Below are 19147 nucleotides of genomic sequence, written 5' to 3'. Positions count from 1 at the left end.
CTCCCCGAGTAGCTGGGACTACAGGCGCCCGCCACCGTGCCCGGCTAATTTTTTGTATTTTTAGTAGAGACGGGGTTTCACCGTGTTAGCCAGGATGGTCTCGATCTCCTGACCTTGCGATCCGCCCACCTCGGCCTCCCAAAGTGCTGGGATTACAGGCGTGAGCCACCGCGCCCGGCCAAGCACATATTTTTTAAACATGGAATTCACCTAGTTTATGCAAAGAGTACCTCCCTGACAGCTAAATGTGGGGAAAGATTAGAAAGAGAAAAGCAGAAAAAATTCTTTTGCAAAGAAAAAGAGAAAGGTAGAAGGATTTAAAATAGCTACTGGGAAGCAACAAGAAATGTGGGTCTTTGACCTGATGTAAATTCAAAATGCACAATTGATTTATGCTCAGCTTTGCAGGAAAATTTTTGGCTTTAGAGGATAATATGAAAACACTGTTTAGGATTAGGCTGAATTATGTTTTCAACAGGATGGAGGAGTCCATCCTCTGTGCCAAGAGTTGGTGATGTTGGCTGATAGTTGCCTCTTATCTCTTTGATATGTGGTACTTGAGTCTCTTAAGACCAAGGATGGCCTTTGGAGGAAAGTGCCTTTTTCTTCCCGGCTGCCAGTTAGAAAGCTGTTCCAAAACCATATTTATGACTACAAGTGCCAGAGCTATAACAGTATATGATGTGCACTTACCAACAGGCTGGTGAAAAAATAGTAGGGAAGAATGATCATCTGATTGTAGTTCACATTCTTGAACATATGTTTGACAATGTAAAATAAATCTTATCTATTTTTCTGCTGGGCTCATAATACTGCAGAAACCTCCTATCATCTTTGTCAATTGCCTTCCCTCTATGGCCTCCCTGGGAAGCAGATGCACTACAGCGATTGACTCACTGGTCACTCCTGTTGTTTATTGATGGACCCGAATGATGGTTACCAAACAATTGCTGGTAAGAAAAACCACCTTATCCCAATGCAACTCTACACAGTGCTCTCTTTTAGTTTTTAAACCTAAGATTCCTCAGTCATCCTGTCTCAAAGCTTGAGTTTCTATATTAAGAAGTGTTTTTAAAATAATCAGATGACAGATGAAGATTTAGAAACATGCAAAAATGATCTGGACATGCTAGATTGTTAACCTACAAATAAAAAGTAAAATTTACTAAGTCGTATATATTTGGGAATAGGAAAATGAAATGCAGGATATAAGATAAATTTATCCACAGCATAGGTAAGAAAAGAAAAGGAGTTATAGTTGACAGCTCAAGTGAAGTGAGTTGGTGATGTGGCTATCAAATGATTTTGAGCTGCATTAATGGAAATATAGTGCTCAGCAGGGGGTGTGGGGAAGGAAGTTCTGTTCCACTGTGGTACCTCATTATAAGATATGGGCAACTGGCCAGCTTCTACAGGCAAGGGACCAGGAAGCAACTCAAAACCATATTGGAAATGGACATAATGTGGAAAAATAATATTTTATGTAATTTTTAGTATAAACAACTGCAATTTAATTATTGCAAGGAAATCTGTTTTGCAAAGGAATCTACAAAGTTTATATACTGCGCATGTTAATTATAACAGATCAGGGAAATCCGGTTAACATGTTAATTATCACAACTTTGGTGAATAAATTTATTTAACCTTTAAGTGAGTTAACAAGAATTACTTTACAACTAATATTCATTTTTTATAACAAATAAACATAGTCTCAAAATTATTGTTAGTACACTTGGAAAATATTAAAACCTCCATGTATTGTAGGAACACTCTTTGTACTTTTTAGGCAACAGATTTAGGAACCTGACAATAACCAGATAGAGAATATGTACACAGTTAACTTAAATTCCGTGGTAATCAGAGGGTAGCCATTCTCTATTTCTCTCATATTTCTCCCCATCCCCCAAGAAAGGGATAATGGTCGGCTCAGCGGTTCACCCTTAAGAGAACAGTCTTTTCTAGATTTCGATTAACATTCACAATTGTGACTGATTACAATTATTTTACCTGGGCTGAATAAGATCATTTGAGCTTATAATAATCATGGTTTTCCTGTAATGCAGGTATTATAGCCCATTTTAGAGACCAGAAAAAAGAGAGGTTAAATAAACTGCCCAAGGTCACATAGTAACAGAACCAAACCCAAGTCTCTCTGACTTTAATGACTCTGTAGCTTTCTGAATATTTGAAGGACCACCAATGGGTAGAAGACAAGGTTTTATTTCATCATAAGGAAGAATTTTTTATTCATTACATCTGTTCTTAAGATGGCTGCCTTGAAAGTATCTGCCTTGCCAGATAATGTACAGGACACCCAGGTAAATTTGAATTTCAGATAAACACTAAAAAAACTTTTAAAGTATATGTCCCACATACTGCATAGGGAATTCCTATGCTAAATATTATTTATTGCTTATATGAAATTTAAGATTAGGCATTCTACTTTTTTTTTTTTTTTTTTTTTTTGGAGACAGTGTCTTGCCCTTACACCCAGACTGGAGTGCAGTGGCCGATCTCGGCTCGGCTCACTGCAACCTCCACCTCCCGGATTCAAACGATTCTCCTGCCTCAGCTTCTCGAGTAGCTGGGATTACAGGCACATGCTCTCACGTCCAGCTAATTTTTGTATTTTTAGTAGAGACTAAAATACCATGTTGGCCAGAATGGCATCAAACCCTTGACCTCAAATGATCCACCTGCCTCGGCCTCCCAAAGTGCTGGGATTACAGGCGTGAACCACCATACCCAGTCAATTTGTATTTTTATTTGCTAAATCTGTCAATCAATCCTCCTTGAGAACGATTGTATTTCCAGGTGCTGGTAATCGAAAATATCAGTGCTCCCATGGAGATGTGGTATTGAGGATCTGAGAGGGGTTGTGATTTCATCATCTTCATGGCTGTCTCCTTTGAGTCCAGAGCTGGGCTAGGTGTAGGGGGAAAATGAATGACTCTACAGTTCTTGGCTTTAAGGAACAGCAGCTCTTTAAAGTTTTCTTTCCATTCCTTGTTTTTTATTCCTTTGGCAGGATCACCTCACTGCTCACCAGCTTCTGGTAGGTACATGGGACAGTGGAGGGTACAAAAGAGAACAACAAATTACTCCTTATGAAGGTTTCTTGAACTATGTTGGTGGGGATCCTTGGAAACACATCTCTATAAAGGATTGTGTTTCTGTCAAGAATTCTAGAATTTTTAACCCCCAAGATGCAGCATGTTAAATATATTTTGTGTTTTGTCCCAAAAGAATAAGGCAATGGGAGTGTTTTTCTTAGAGATGGGATTTATGACAGCTTCTGCAATATCCTCCAACTCACACAAGACAAGTTAAAAGTTGGCCCTATTTTGAAGTTGATAAAACCATCGCTCTGGAAATATTTCTTAAAGTTTCTGAATAAAACACTTTAGGAAAATTCTTCTTTAGTGGATATCTTATAGCACATGGTATTAACGACCTGTCCCATGAAATTCATTAAGAAGTGGCTTCATGCTGAAAATTGACAAATAATGAAAGTTCAGCTGAGGCCCCTTTCAAATGTGGTTCTCCCACACAGTGTGATCTGTTTACTGGAGACTGTTGTGAAGACTGTAAATACAATTCCCGTCTGGGTGCCGGAACGGAACACAGGCTGCCCAGGGCCTGAAGAATCAGTCCCGCATGTGTTTCATGTAATTATGTGTCTGTAGACATATTTCTAGGTTACAATTGTGAGAAATGCTTGAAAACGTTCCAGTAGAAGCGGAGACCAAAACTATGATATTTTTGCAAAACCAATATGTAAGTAAAATACCCGATTTTATGAAATGCTTTCGTTATTTTAACTGGTGGAAACCTGCCTTCCCTCAAAATAAGACTGTAAGAGTCTGACAATACAAGAGAGAATTTTTAAAAATACAGTCTTACAGTGGAGAAAGCTTTTCTTTTTTTTTTTTTTTAGACAGGGTCTTACCCTGTCACCCAGGCTGGAGTGCAGTGGCACAATGTCAGCTCACTGCAACCTCTGCCTCCCAGGCTCAAGTGATTCTCCTGCCTCAGCCTCCCAAGTAGCTGGAACTACAGGCATGCACCACCATGCTCAGCTAATTTTTTGTATTTTTAGTAGAGACATGGTTTTGCCATGTTGCCCAAGCTGGTTTGAACTCCTGAGCTCAGGCAATCCACCTGCCTCAGCCTCCCAAAGTGTTGGGATTACAGGCCTGAGCCACCATATCTGGCCAGCAGGGAAAGCTTTTCTAAGCAAGATGCAAAATCCAGGAACCATGAAGGAAAGATGGATAAATGTCTGCCCACCAAAAATGCCACAAAGTCAAAAGACAAACTGGGGGAAATAGTTGCATTATAATAGCAAAGGGAAAAATTTTCCTAATTGACACAAAAATACAATTTATATTAAGTAGTATAAATGGCTCTTGCTACTGAAATTTAAGAGTTATAAGACCACATTTCTCCCCTAGTAGTTTGGCAAATGTAGAAAAGTTTGGCTGTACACATCACATTGGTGAGAACAAGTGGGTGCAGGCCTCCTATGCTGTTGCCAGAAGTGCAAGTTGAAGTGGCCTTTTTAGGAGACAATTTGACAATGTTTATCAGAGCTTTAAGTGCACATACCTTTTGACCTGGCAATACTGCTTCTGGAAATGTACCCAACAAGAATGTGCGCTAACCTAGAACAATTTTCCTGGAAAAATATATTCTCCTCATCAGACCCACGTTGCTTTGCCAACCAAAGCCCCAAGTGGTAAAATAACATTGCCTTGGGGAAGAAATAGAAGGAAATGCAGAGCACAAGGACGATGTCCTTGGTTTCAAGCCGGCCAGGTTGCTGGTCAACCTGAGCTGGAGTCTAGAGCAAGTATGCAGTTTGTGAACTTAATTCCATACAGAGAGCTGGTCTAGAAGTTACTTGGGACACTGTATTTCCTTTTTCCTTTTCCTTTTTTTTTTTTTTTTTTTTTTTTGAGATGGAGTCTCGCTCTGTTGCCCAGACTGGAGTGCAGTGGCGTAATCTCGGCTCACTGCAAGCTCCGCCTCCTGGGTTCACGCCATTCTCCTGCCTCAGCCTCCCGGGTAGCTGGGACTACAGGTGCCCGCCACCATGCCCGGCTAATTTTTTGTATTTTTAGTAGAGACAGGGTTTCACCATGTTAGCCAGGATGGTCTCGATCTCCTGACCTCGTGATCCGCCCGCTTCGGCCTCCCAAAGTGCTGGGATTACAGGGGACACTGTATTTCCATATAGAGGGAGGGGATCCCTATCACACTGAATCCTCTTGGAAAGAGTGGCATTTGTGACACTCTAGGATTCTTCCTTTATGTTTTGCTCTTTCCCCTTTGAGCCCCATGTTCCCTGCTCCTCCAGGATGATGTGGCCTTCACTCCCTCTTGGGACCATGGCTTCCTTCATATATGGCAGGCAGTTCTCCAAGCACACTCCCACCCCTCCAGTCCTCTGTACTCTTCCATCCTCAGCAAGATGCTGGGCCCTGTTAGTCCTATACCAAGGTAGCTGCTCCACCCCCTCCCGCTCGGGAATTCTTAGGCCCTTGCACCGTCTTGCCCAGGAGTGTTTTTCTTTTTAGTTCACATTCGTCTCAGCCAGATACAAATGGGAGCTGCAAACACCTGGAATGAAGCCACTGCTCATATGTCCATTAAATCCTAAGGCCCCCAAGAGGCCCAGGGAGGCTCTTGCTTCACCAGCTTCTCCTCGAACGTTGCCTCTTCTCAACTTTTTAAAAATGTCTTAATATTATTGTTAATAAGCAATTCATTTACATGATTCAAAAGTCAATACTGTAAGTAATGTGTACCTGAGAAGTCTTAGTTCCGCCTCTCTCATTTTATTCATTTTCTGTTCTTCTAATGGTTCTTGATATGAATGTGTGTGTAGTGTGTGTATACATACAAATAAAGTAAGTCATAACACAGATTATGCTAAATTTTATCCCCCTTTCTTACCCCCAAAGTGTTTGACTATGATATAAACTATACTCCACCTTGGTTTTTTGCACTTAAAAATATCTGGTCATATATATTTTTAAAATTTTAATTGTGGTAAATACACAGAACATAAAATGTACCAAATTAATCATTTTTAAAGGTACAGCTCAGTGGTATTAAATCCATCCACGTGGTTGTGCAACCATCATCACCATTTATCTTCGTAACTCTTCCATCTTGCAAAACTGAAACTCTGTACCCATTAAACAATAACTCCACATGTTCTCCTCCTCACAAGCCCTGGCAACCACCATTTACTTTCTATCTCTATCAGTTTGACTCCTGTAAGTACATATATAAGTAGGATCATACAGTATCTGTCTTTTTGCTATTGGCTTAGCATAAAGTACTTGAGACTCATCCATGTTACAGCACCTGTCAGAATTTTCTTTCTTTTTAAGGTTGAATATTCTGTTGTATGTATAAGGCCACACTTTCTTTATCTATTCATCTATCAATAGATATTTGGGTTGCTTCCACCTCTTGGCTATTATGAATAATGCTGATATAAACATGGGTACACAGATATTTCTGAAACCTTTCTTTGAGTTCTTTTGGATATCTACTCAGAAGTAGAATTGTTAGCTTATATGATAAATCTTTTTTAAATGTTTTAAAGAACCTCCACACTGTTTTCCATAGTGGTGGCTGTATCATTTTATATTCCCGCCAATGGTGCACAAGTTTCCAAAAATAGCACTAGTTATTTTCTGGATTTTTTGTTTGATTTGTTTCATTTTTGATAGTAGCCATCCTAACGGGTGTGAGGTTTCATTGTGGGTTTGATTTGCCTTTCTCTAGAAATGGCTGATATTAAGAATCTTTTCATGTGCTTGTTGACCATTTTGTCCTTAGCCTTTGCCTATTACAGACCTTGAATACCTTGCCAGCTTCGGCAGTAACAGAAACATTTGGCCCCCCTTCTTTAGGCCACATGTCTATTTGTAATAGGGGAATATATCAGTAATATTTCATTTCCCTACTTCTTTCTGCTGAATGTGTAAAATCGTCATCTGCTTCTGAGGTTAGTTCTTGCCATTTCTACAAGCTGTAAAGACACTGCTGAATCATGGTGTCTTTACTACCTTAACTCTCTTTACTTTCTGTCTGACACAGTCCTCCAGATTCTGCCTTATGTGGGTACCCTAGAGAGGGAGAGACAAGTCAGAAAGTTCTGGGTCTCCTAAAGACATCCATTGTTTAAACAAACCCTGTCAATGAAAGGTTCGCTAATCAGGCCTAGATCTTTTGTTATCCTTCTGCTTCTCCTCTGCCAGGCTTCACCTGCATCTTCCACTGGAGGATGTTTATTGGATATTCCCTTGTAGATGATCAATACTTCCACTTTTGCCAACTCTTGAATTCTGAAACTACCTAATCAGGCTCCAGTTAATTTGTGCTCACCTTTTCTATCTTCCTTTCCCAATATCCCTAAATCAGTGGTTCTCAACTTTGGCTGTAGATTGGCATTGGCTGGGTAGATTTTTTAAAAGACTGATGTCTAGGCCTCACCCCCAGAGGCTTTTACTTAATTGATTTAACTGTAGCCAGAGCATGGGGATTCTAATGTGCAGCCAGTGTTGAGAACTACTGACCTAAATTTTTGGAAAAATTAATCTTATTAATGAATGTTATTAATACATCTTATTCACTCTCTATTATAACTTAAAAGGCTTGTCTCAATAGTATCCTAGATTGGGCTATCTCTGGGGTAATCACCACAGTTAGTTCTCTAAGGTTTTATCCTCTGTTAATTATTATTTGCACTTCAGGCTCTCTGATCCAATCACAAATCCCCTTTCCTTCTTACAGCTGTGAAAGCAATGTGTCTCTCTTTTTACCCTTCATATTTCTCTAGCCTGTCAGGAACAGGGTAGAAGAAAATATCTTTCCTACTTCACCCTCAAACGCCTTCTACAAGCAGGAACACATATTGGCAAATATTTGGTTCAAGGCTTGTTGGAAAACCTTTGGAGGCTGATTTCTGTAGTTCTAGAATTCTACTAAAAATTATCTGAAGATATGCCAGCTGGTGAATGCTATGTTAAAGATACATATGCAGCTGGAGAGGCAAGATAATTATGAGACTAGCAGCAAAATGAGTAGAAACAATAGTGGGGAAGATTAGCAATTTAAAATGCGTAGAAACTAAGTCAATTTATCTCTCTTTGGAAACTTCAGAACCCTTTGCTCTTAGGTCAACTTATGGAATCACTCTCACTATGTACCACTTCTAGAATCTGTGACTGTTGGAATTCTCATTCCTTAAACTCATCCAATTATTGAAAGTCATCCAATTATTCTACTATGAAGAGGTAAACATAGTAAACATTTTCCCTTGATACCAGTTAGGGTTTGTGTAGATCTGCTTAGGAGAAAGACCTTTTCTCCAATGACTTCAATCTGTAGTCCTATGAGCTGCTTGGTGAAAATTGTCTTAAGTTCCAACAGTGGGACTGCTTCATGTTGTTTGGGTCATACAAAGACAGGAGGTGTGGTAACAGACAAGCCTCTAAGCAAGAAGTCATAGGGCTAGACCTTACCAAGGAGTCAGAAGTCAACATGATTTGGTATAAACTAAAATTATTCAAGTGCAATTAACCTGCTATAACTGGAGCCCTTCAACTTCCTGGAAGGAGCAAAGGATTATCATAACCTGCCTAGTTCACAGACCCTGCCATGCCTTTGTGAGGCTTTTCTTAGTGCCCTAACCTCTTAGTTACCTAACCTTATCAGTTTACTGTTTAACTCTTGATAGTAGAATAATTGGATGACTTTCAACAACATATTGAGTCGTTTTCCAAGAATCCCGTTGATAAGCTTATCCACTGATGTCCACCTGCCAGCCTTCCTGTCTACTCATGAATTGATCATCACTATGCCTAATGGACAACCCCAACTCTGCAGGTTAGATACGCTCAACAGCCTACCTGTGTGGCCCCAGACATCGAGTTCCTGCCTCCAACTGGGCTTCTTGCCAGGACATATCACTGTGTGTTGTTCCTCAGTACCTACCTCATTTTAATGAGTCAGCCTGGTCTCAGGCCCCAGCCTTGCCTGGCCTCATCCTACCATAGGTCTGCAAGCTCATGCCTGACTTCAGTGGTGGTAAAGATCATCAATGTGGAGCAAGACTTTAGAGTTCAGGTTCAAATTATGCTCTGCTACCTGCTAACAGTGAGGCTTTTCCAAGCCTCATTTTTCTCAGGCACAAAAATTGAGAATGAACAGAAATTACCTCATGGAATTGCTATGAGGTTTAAACAAAACAGTCCATGGAAAGCACTTACCACAATGCCTAACATATTTTAAGTGCTCAATAAATACAATACATGTTATCTGCATTATTTCAGTTGCAAAAAAGATAAACATACTCAGTTTAGTTCAAGAAACAGTGGGGCTTGTTGAAAGGCTACAGATGATAAATTTCACAGAAGCCAGTTTCTATGTAGTAAGGACAGATGGATGTCCAGGAAATGGGAAGTCACAGACAACCACTCCCTGACTCTCTGATTCTGACTCTGTCTCTCTGTCATTTCTGCTTCTTGCTGCCTGTTGACTTCTCTCTACTGATTCTCTGAGTACCTTTTTTCTCAGCTTATTCACATCCTGTGGTAGACTGCTAGTTGTTCTTCAATATCCATTCTTTTTTTCTTCCTTTAACAATAGAGCCCTTTTGTTTAGTTGGACACATGGCCTCCTTGGTAAACGTTATATTTTCTGGACTCCCTTGCAGCTAGGTGTGGCCACTCAATCAAGTTCTGGATTCATGTACACGTGGCATATGTAACTTTGTCGTCATAGGAGAGGACAGCCTCCTTTCTGCATCCTTTTGACTGCGACATAAGTATAGTAGTAAGCTATTTTGGACTGAGCCACCCTAACAATGAGTAGGCCAGAAGTCTAGGTCCCCAGCAATGGGAAATTGCTATCTCAAGTCTGGGTTCGAGAAAAACAATATCTCCTACCTTTTTTGAGGCATTTTATTTTGTCTTTAATACAGTGGTTGAATCTGTGTGCTAACAGATGAATCATTTACTCTCAGGGGCTTGGGTAGCTTTGCCCTCTCTTGTCCCCAAATCAATATCACAAACACTCATCATTGTCCAACTGACCCAAACATTTAGTCTTCATTTCCAAATTCTGATGAGAAGGAATCTGATTGCTCAAGCTCAGGTCAAGTATCTAGCCTGGTCTAATCATCTATAACTGAAAATAACTGGGGTTTTGGGGTTGAGTAGGGAGGAGGCAAGTCATGTGGTACAGAGAGCTGCACCAGCCAAAGACTATCAGTGTCGTAGGTTCACTGATAGTGGGATATAGAAGAGATAATAATTACTGGCTTGCCTAAACCCATGAGGTGTTATATTATACAAATACATAGAAAATAAGCTTTTGTTAATTTTTTTTTAAAAAGCTTCTAACATATGTTGTGGATCAGTACATATTCTAGGCAAACTCCCAGAACCCTCTACTTCTGTAGGACTACCTAATAGTCACTGAATAAAATGAACATCCTGCACAGATAAAGATCCTGAATCATCAAAATATGCTTCAAATATGTTTATTTACTGAGTTGACAAAGCCTAAAAAGTATACTTATAGAATTTTACAGACATGTCTAGCCCAATATTTTATCTAAGTTAATCAGAAAACTCAACTTATTCAGTTACTTTATACTCTGCAAACTTAAGTTACCCAAGATGTTATCTGTGAAGTTGTTTAGCTATGACATTGTCAAAACCTTTTTATGATATGTAACTAAACTGGTTGCAATTTGTACATTTTACTTCCATAATTTCATACTTAGGTTTAAGTGTCATACTTAAACTATAGATCAATATCAAGGAATAATGTGAGATTACTGGAGATATAGTCTCTGAGATGTTCCTTCTCAGCGAAGCCATTTGATTTCTACCAAGCCTATACAGCAGCTTTTCCAAAGGTGTGTTCTGCAAACCACTGGTACTCATAGATATCACAGGACAAAAGGAATTCCATTGTAAAATAAATTTGGAAAAGATGCTACAAGTTATATTTCCCTGCATGTTATGCAAGTATATGCTGCAAGTTATATTTCCCTGTTAGAGTCTCATAATGCTATGTGTAATGAAGGCTCTGAGACGTCCGGCTGAACCAACACATGTGACATTTGTTGAACATTGTTTAATCCCATTTTTCCTCAAAATTTTACACCTTGGAAAAATGCTGTGTACATGTGTGTACTGCAACAGGCAGGGCAAATGCAACAATGAGGCCATGGGCAGAATTTTAAGAAACAGAGGCCAAAGTAGCTTAAGCAGGGATGAAGTTGCTCAAGAAAGACACATTTTTAAGCCATAAAGGACTATATACATGTCTAAATAGAGCTAAAAAGTGTGAAGAGACATATATTTTAATTCACCACCAGGGTTATGGCCCTGCCTAAAAACACAGACATTTTTCTAATACTTTATCATTTACAGGGCAACTACAGATGTATATAAAGTACACTTAATCCTCATATTAACCCCATGATATGAAGTGTTATTCTATTTTTTAAAGGAGAGAGGTAAATGTTAGAGTGGTTAGGGACTGGGCCTAGGACATGAGGACCTACAGCAAGGGAAAGATAAAGGTGAGATTACCCTGCAAAAGAAAGGCTGTCTTTAAATAAGTTTGGAGAGGCTCAATACACCATAGATCGTTGACCATTCTAAACTATTGTCAGTAGAAAAACTCCTTGGCCTTAGATTTCACCAAACCTATTTGCTTGCAACACATTTGTTTAAGGTTATTTTTTTTTTCCACATTAATTTTCTGTCAACTTTCTAGGGAACATACTTTGAAAATAGTTGCTCTGGATCATTGATTTCTTACTGGCCAAAGACAAGAATTATCATGGCCAAGAACTTCCCATAAATCATGGCCTATTAGTCAGACATTCCTGGAACTGGATTAAGGTTTACCTTTGTGGTTTATATAAAGAACACCCTTGCCAAGTAATTAATATGCCCTGATCTCCTTCCCCACTGCAATTTGCCCAAATTACTTGGGTGTAACTTAGCTTATAGAGGTTTTCCTCTCGTGCGTGGTTTCCAAGAATGGAGCCAGGTTGGTGCCTGTGCCACAGGTTGCTTAAAACATTTGGAATCTTATTTACCTTCTGGAAAGTAAATGGGAAGTATGGGTCAAACTTTAAAAATGAATACTCCAGATGAAAAGAAACTGATAATCATACCCAGATGTTAATTTAGTGAATGCATCTCATGTGATGCCATGGTAATGGCAAATTCCAGTGTTTGGTGGACCAGTGTGGGGAATGTTTAAAGTCTTCCTGACTCCAGTGAAAAGCCAAGAGTCGTTTGTTGGGAAGGTCTTGCTTCTTTCGGTTGCCATTTTTAAGTAGACCAATCTCCAGCCAGTCTATAGAAGTCATTATAAACACATCGAAGGATTACTCCAGGAAGGGTACCTAAGAGCATATTGTAAAAATGCAAAAACACAAAGACATACAAGCTACGATCTTCACCTTAAAAGCATTTTTGGAGAGAAAAGTTGATGTCATTTAACTGATTTTGATTTAAACTTTCCTCTAATGCATTTTCATTCTGGGTGACTAACTGAAGAAAAGAGGGGCAACTTTGAGGGAATATTTACACCCTCAATCTTTTAAATGTTTTAAAATTAAAATCCACAGTTCCATTATTTCTTCTGTTCTTTTTATGTTTTCTCTCCCATTCATGGTTGACACAGATAGTATGGCATATTATTAAGTCTTCAGCTCCTGTGAGCTCCTGTGAGCCTCAGTTTTCTCACACCTAAAATGAGAGGATGGGGCCAGAAATTGTTTAACGTTTCCTTGGATCTATGATTTTAGTGTAGTTCCTGGCCATGGTAGATACTGGATAAATAATTGTTGAATAATTCTGTATACTTAGTCACATATTTTGACCTCTACCAAATACAATAGTTCTGCTATCTGGCAGAACCAGGTTAATACCTTGGCTCCACAATTTATTAGTTCTGTGAACTTGAGCAAATTACCCTGCCTAAGGCTTTTTGGCCATATCTATTATATGGAAAGAAAGTGCTCACCTCATTAGGTTAGTAGAGGATGAGATGAGTTGGTCTCCACAACCCTCAGGGTAATGTCTTTGATACAGCAATCATGCAACAAATAGTTGCTGGTATTACCATATTAATAGACACTTATAAGAAATAAGTATCAGTAACAACAGGTCCATGGGAATTTCCACAGACAGGAATTTCCACAGAGCTAGAACTGTTCTCTTTATGGGTTCTTGTCTGCCTCAGATGGCATCCATTACAGTGGGGAATGTGTTCATAGTTAAAAAGTTTTGCTATCTCCATGCTCCTAGTTCCTATAAAATCACTTGCCTCATTGTGAATGTTCCTCATCTCCACCCCACCTTCTCCATCCCTACCCCACAGTCTCTGCCCTACCATCATCTGGCTGACTCCTGTACATTCCATTCTTGCCAGCTTTGTAACCTGCCCTTTCCTGTTCAGGGCACTTTCCTGATCATGGCACACTGCCTACGCTCTGTCCCTCTTCTCAGGCTTTCCCACTGAATGTGAGTTGCTTGACCATTTTGATTTTGACTATTTTATTCACCACTCCATCCCAAGAACCTAAGCGCATAATAGGTGACCAACAAATATTTGCTGAATAAACAAATAAGGTATTCATTTCTGTTCCTGCTTTTAAGACAACTTGGTTTCAGACGAATGCTTCAAAATACTAAGATAGCCAAGTGTCAGGTCTTTTCAGTGTTAGATAAGTTCCAGGATGTGGATTATCCAAAGACTACGTGGTGAACTCTATAGCACCCTTCATGCTTATGTTTGAAAATGGTTGCTGTTTTAGGAATTCAAAAGATGAAGCTACATTTTAAATTATGACTCAGAAAGAAATGGTCAGGTTTTTCATTTCTCCATAATTTTCTACACCCTTTATCAGATATGGCACATCAGTAGTCCTCTCCAACTAATGCATAGCATATCTCTTTTTCATCATGTCATCAAAGAACTAGAGGTTGAATAAACATTTGAACTTCAATGGCTCGCTTCTTGCATTGTAAAGTAACCACTTAGGTGCAACTTAAGGTTATTCTGTAACATTTATAAACCAACAAGATGATGAAATGTCCTGAGGCTGCAAAAAGTAGCTGAGAGTAAACTGCAAGACAGATCTGTTTTAAAATACAGGGTCTTCCTTCCCTTTGACAAGGAGAAGAAATGTCAGCTATCTGTAAGTCTGGCTCTTATGGTTGTTAAAACTGATGCGGGGATGACCACCAAATTTATTTCATTAAAATCACCTGAAACTTCTTTTAATATCTGTGTCTAAAAGAGTTTCATTCTTTGGAGATTACATTATGAAGTACATTTGTTTGAAAGCTAATTCCAAAAGAACACATTTTGGCTTGGCTCATCTTCAATGTAATAAATAACCTAAAAAGAATCACTAACGTCATATTTTCAGATGTTATCAAGATATTTAATATACAAGTAAGTAGAATTTTTCAAAACTACTATAAGTGGTCAAGAAAATGTTTATGCAGTGGTCAAATTTAATTTAAGCTACAGGTCTATGCGACAGTCTGAATGGTATTGTGAACTTAGAAATAACAGTAGAGATCTTGTCCAGGAACAATGACTTAATTTATTCACTCTTTGGTGAGTGGCTACTTTGTGCTCATTGCCTTGTGCTCATGATGTACAATTCATTCATTTATTTATAAATGCTTTAAAAAATATGCCTTGAATATAGATGTGCCAGGCACAATTCCAGATGCTGCTGATGAACAAGTCGCACATGATCCCTGCCACTAAGTAGCTTACATAACATGATGGAGGAAGTTGTAAAATATAGACATATAAGAAACATGTGCTTCAGACTAATCTTCTTCAAAGAGCAACCCTAAGATAAATAGCAAACTTTTCAACAAGAATTATGAAAGCAGAAGTTAATGGAATGATATTTTTAAGTGCTAACGAAAACAAACCTGCTAGTCTAGAATTCTGTATTCTAAAAGAATTTTCAAAAATTATAGCAAACCAGACATTTTCAGTCAATTAGAAGTTGAACAAAGCTGTCATTAGCAGACCTGCAATACAAGAATTACTGAAGTAAGTTCTCTGGGTTGAAAGAATAATTTTTAATTATCCCAAATAATTCCTGTTTGTAGGATACACATTAAATATAAGGACGCAGATAGGGTGAAAGTCAAAGGATGGTAAATGTATACCATGCAAACACTAACCAAAGGAAAGCTGGCACAGCTATGTTACAAACAAAGTATACTTTAAGACAAAGAATAATACTAGATATATAGAGTGACATTTCATGATAAAAAGGGTCAATTCAGCAGGAAAACACAATTCTAAATGTATATGCATCTAATAATGTATCTTTAAAATATATAAAACAAAAATTGTTTAAACTAGAAAAATTCACAATCATACATGTAGATTTAAAAATACCTCTCTGTAGCTGATAAAATAAGAAGACAAAAAGGCAGTATCCCAAAACTGCAGCATATATTCTTTTTCAATCAGACCTGGCAAAACCCCAAAATTATATCAGCCTTAGATGATGAGAGGGCACTTTGACTAAAGTATTGATATGAAACCAAAATATAGTCACCTGAAAATTGAATTATGATAATATATTCTGGGAGTAACATAGGCACTACGTTAAGCCTAGGGAAATCCATAAAAATGAGGTACAGCATTTTCCTTCAATGAACTCATACTTTAATAATAATAATAACCAAGGTTTACACAGCACTTTTTGTGTGCGAGGAACTATTTCAAATGCTTTATTTGTATTAATTCCCCCAAGAACCCCGTGAGGTGAGTTATTATCTCCCATTTTACAGACGACAAAACCGAGGCACTGAGAAGCCTATCACTTTATCAAAGGTCATCCCAGCTAGTAAGTGCTACAGCTGGGATTTGAACCCAGGGTTCTGGCGCTATCCCATGTTTTTATTTCCTTTAGCCCTCTTTGAGAGCGTGCACTTCTTTTCTTACTAGGATTTAGGGTTGGATAGAAGTACTTTGGGAAGTGTACCTGGTGAGTGGGCTGGATCCCTCTCTGGGCCGGGGAAAAAAAAAAGCCCTCCGATCCGTCTTTTAATTGCTTCTCTTCGTTTTTTTCTCTCCTATTTCTCATCACTCCAACTAGCCCAGGAAGAAGGCGGCGGCGGAGGCGGCCTGGGAGGAGCCGAGCTCGGACAACGGCACTGCCCGCGCCGGGCCCAGGAAGCTCGGAGGTCCGGCGGGCAGGAAGGGCGAGCGGCCCGAACGCTGCAGCAGCAGCCGCGGCTGCGGCTGCAGTGGTGACTAGGACCGCGTGGAGCTCGACTGGGACCCGTGCGGGGACAAGCGCGCGGGGCGCCAAGGAGCGCGTCAAACTTAAAGGGTCAAAGTGCAATGGGCAGCTTTTGATTTTGGGGGCAACTAACTGGGACATGATTGGTCGAAAAGAAGTGCCTAAACAGCAAACTGCTTACCGCGATCTCGGTCAGAATTTGTGGGGTCCCCACAGGTATGGCTGTCTGGCGGGGGTCCGGATACGGACAGTGATCTCAGGTTCCTGTGCTGCACACAGCCTCCTCATCACCATGGAAGGGAAGCTGTGGAGTTGGGGTCGAAATGAGAAGGGGCAGCTGGGACATGGCGACACCAAGAGAGTAGAGGCCCCCAGATTCATCGAGGGTCTCTGCCATGAAGTGACCATGTCTGCAGCATGTGGGTGGAACCACACCTTGGCCTTGACGAAAACGGGCTCTGTGTTTGCGTTTGGGGAGAACAAGATGGGGCAGCTGGGCCTTGCCAACCAGACAGACGCTGTGCAGCCCCGCGCGGATAATGTATAACGGCCAGCCAATTACCAAAATGGCCTGTGGGGCTGAATTCAGTATGATAATGGACTGAAAAGGAAACCTCTATTCCTTTGGGTGCCCTGAATATGGCCAGCTGGGACACAACTCGGATGGGAAGTTCATCTTTGGGGCACGGCGGATAGAGTACGACTGCGAACTGGTTCCCCCGCGACTGGCCATATTCATTGAGAAGACGAAAGACGGACAGATTCTGCCTGTACCAAACGTGGTTGTGTGAGACGTGGCCTGTGGTGCTAACCACACGTGGTCCTGGACTCCCAGAAGCGAGTCTTCTCCTGGGGCTTCGGTGGCTATGGCCGGCTCGGCCACGCAGAGCAGAAGGACGAGATGGTCCGCCGCCTGGTGAAGCTGTTTGACTTCCCTTGGCGTGGTGCGTCCCAGATCTATGCTGGTTACACCTGCTCCTTGGCCGTCAGTGAAGTGGGTGGTCTGTTTTTCCGGAGGGCCACCACTACCTCCCGTGAATCTGCCATGTACCCGAAAGCAGTGCAGGACCTCTGTGGCTGGAGAATCCAGAGCCTGGCTTGTGGGAAGAGCAGTATCATTGTGGCCGCCGACGAGAGCGCCATCAGCTGGGGCCTATCACCGACCTTCGGGGAACTGGGCTAGGGGGACCACAAGCCCAAGTCTTCCACTGCAGCCCAGGAGGTGAAGACTCTGCATCCACAGTCTTCATTTTCTCAGAGAAGGTCGCCATGGGCTACTCACACTCCTTGGTGATAGCAAGAGACGAAAGTGAGACCGAGAAAGAGATCAAGAAACTGCCAGAATACAACCCCGAACCCTCCCATGCTTCCGGAGACTCCTCCGACTCCATACCTCTGGCGGCAGCTGTCATTTCCATGTGCACTGGGACTTCGTGAAGTGAAATGAGGAATTTAAAAAAGTGAAAGTCGACCAAAGGTGCATTTTTGTTTAGACTCCTTGAGGTTCCGTTTTACAAGTGATCCAACGTTAACCACCTTTTTTTCTATGCTTTCCAAAGTACGTTTTTCCCCTTAATGTCGAATTAAAATACTTGCTCATAGTTGACTTACCATTCCTACAGAAGAGGTAGAAACTTTGAGCAATCTAGAGTTTTTTTTTTTTTAAGTTTTTTCTTTTTTCCTTTCCTGAATACACTCCCCAAAACACCCCCTTTCCAGTTATAATTAGCATCCGTGATCCAAGCAGATGCTACATGGAAGAGGAATCACCATTTACTCAGAAAAAATAGTCCTTTACAGGAACCGGCAGCAGCTAGGCAAAGTCAGTCCCTGCCCGCCCGCCTCCATCCAAAATCACGGTCGCGTGCTTCGGAAGCATACGGGTCACTCCTTTCCCGCTTTTTTTTGCAGATCCGCCTAGGCCGGCGTCGGTTCTGTTTCTCCCCTTGGCGGCCTGTACGCCCACAGCCTTCTGGCTGCAACATAGAGAATCTGCCCTGGCTCCCCTGGTGGGGGAGGGGGGTCTGTGTTTAGCCATTTATATCTACCTCAGCTGTTAAAGAAGTCCAAATGAAAATCAGTTGGTGGTAGAACCATGGGGACTTGGGGGTGGGGCAGAGGTGGAAACATTTGTATCAGCTGAGTCGGCTTAGTGGCTTCCTGTGGAGCCCTGGCTGAGCCTTGTTACACGCACTCGCCAATTAGAGATCTAGTCCTTGCAAGAAGGATCAGCCCTTTCCATACCAGCCTTGATCACCTTGTGCTTTGGTCTCCTTTTCTACCCTACCTGCATCCTGCCTCGCACTGGCCATCCTGTTGCTGAGACTCGGGGTACCGTTCTGCTGGCTCAGCTCCCTTTAGTCACGTTTGGTTGGCTCTGGTACTAAATAGTTGGGATTACTGAAGAGTTCCCTTCCTTGCGCATCAGCACTGATGCTGTGGCTGCCACCCGTGTCCCCATCAAGTGCCCGAGCTCTCTGCGTGTGCGCTGTGCTGAGTGAGTTATGAGGTGCCTTTCCCGGAACGCTCTTCTCGCCTGGACGCAAAACGGGGGACAGCTCTGGCTGGGGCTCTTGGTTTCCAGAGGGTCTGGACTGGTTTGGGCGCTTTAAAATAGATATTTAGTTCAGTGGTGCTTATGAGGGAGATGGGAATAGAACTTAAGTGAGTGTGAGACTTGGGTGGATGGGAAAGTTAAATTTTGGTCTCTTCAAATGTGTTTTTTTTTTTTGCTTTGCTATTGTTACCGCTTGTCACTGTCTCCATGTTAAAATGCCAAAAATGATCTAGGTGTTGTTGCTCCAC

The 19147-nt window shown here is 41.0% G+C and overlaps 1 pseudogene; it reads left to right on the top strand.

Annotated features, from left to right (window-relative positions):
* Positions 16074-17895, top strand: RCC2P7 (regulator of chromosome condensation 2 pseudogene 7; annotated as a pseudogene).
* The last annotated feature ends 1252 nt before the right edge of the window (positions 17896-19147 follow it).

Source organism: Homo sapiens, chromosome 6 (assembly GCF_000001405.40).
Source record: "Homo sapiens chromosome 6, GRCh38.p14 Primary Assembly".
NCBI lineage: Eukaryota > Metazoa > Chordata > Mammalia > Primates > Hominidae > Homo > Homo sapiens.
The sequence above is the reverse complement of the archived record's forward strand: the minus strand, read 5'-3'. Positions and strand labels throughout refer to the sequence as shown.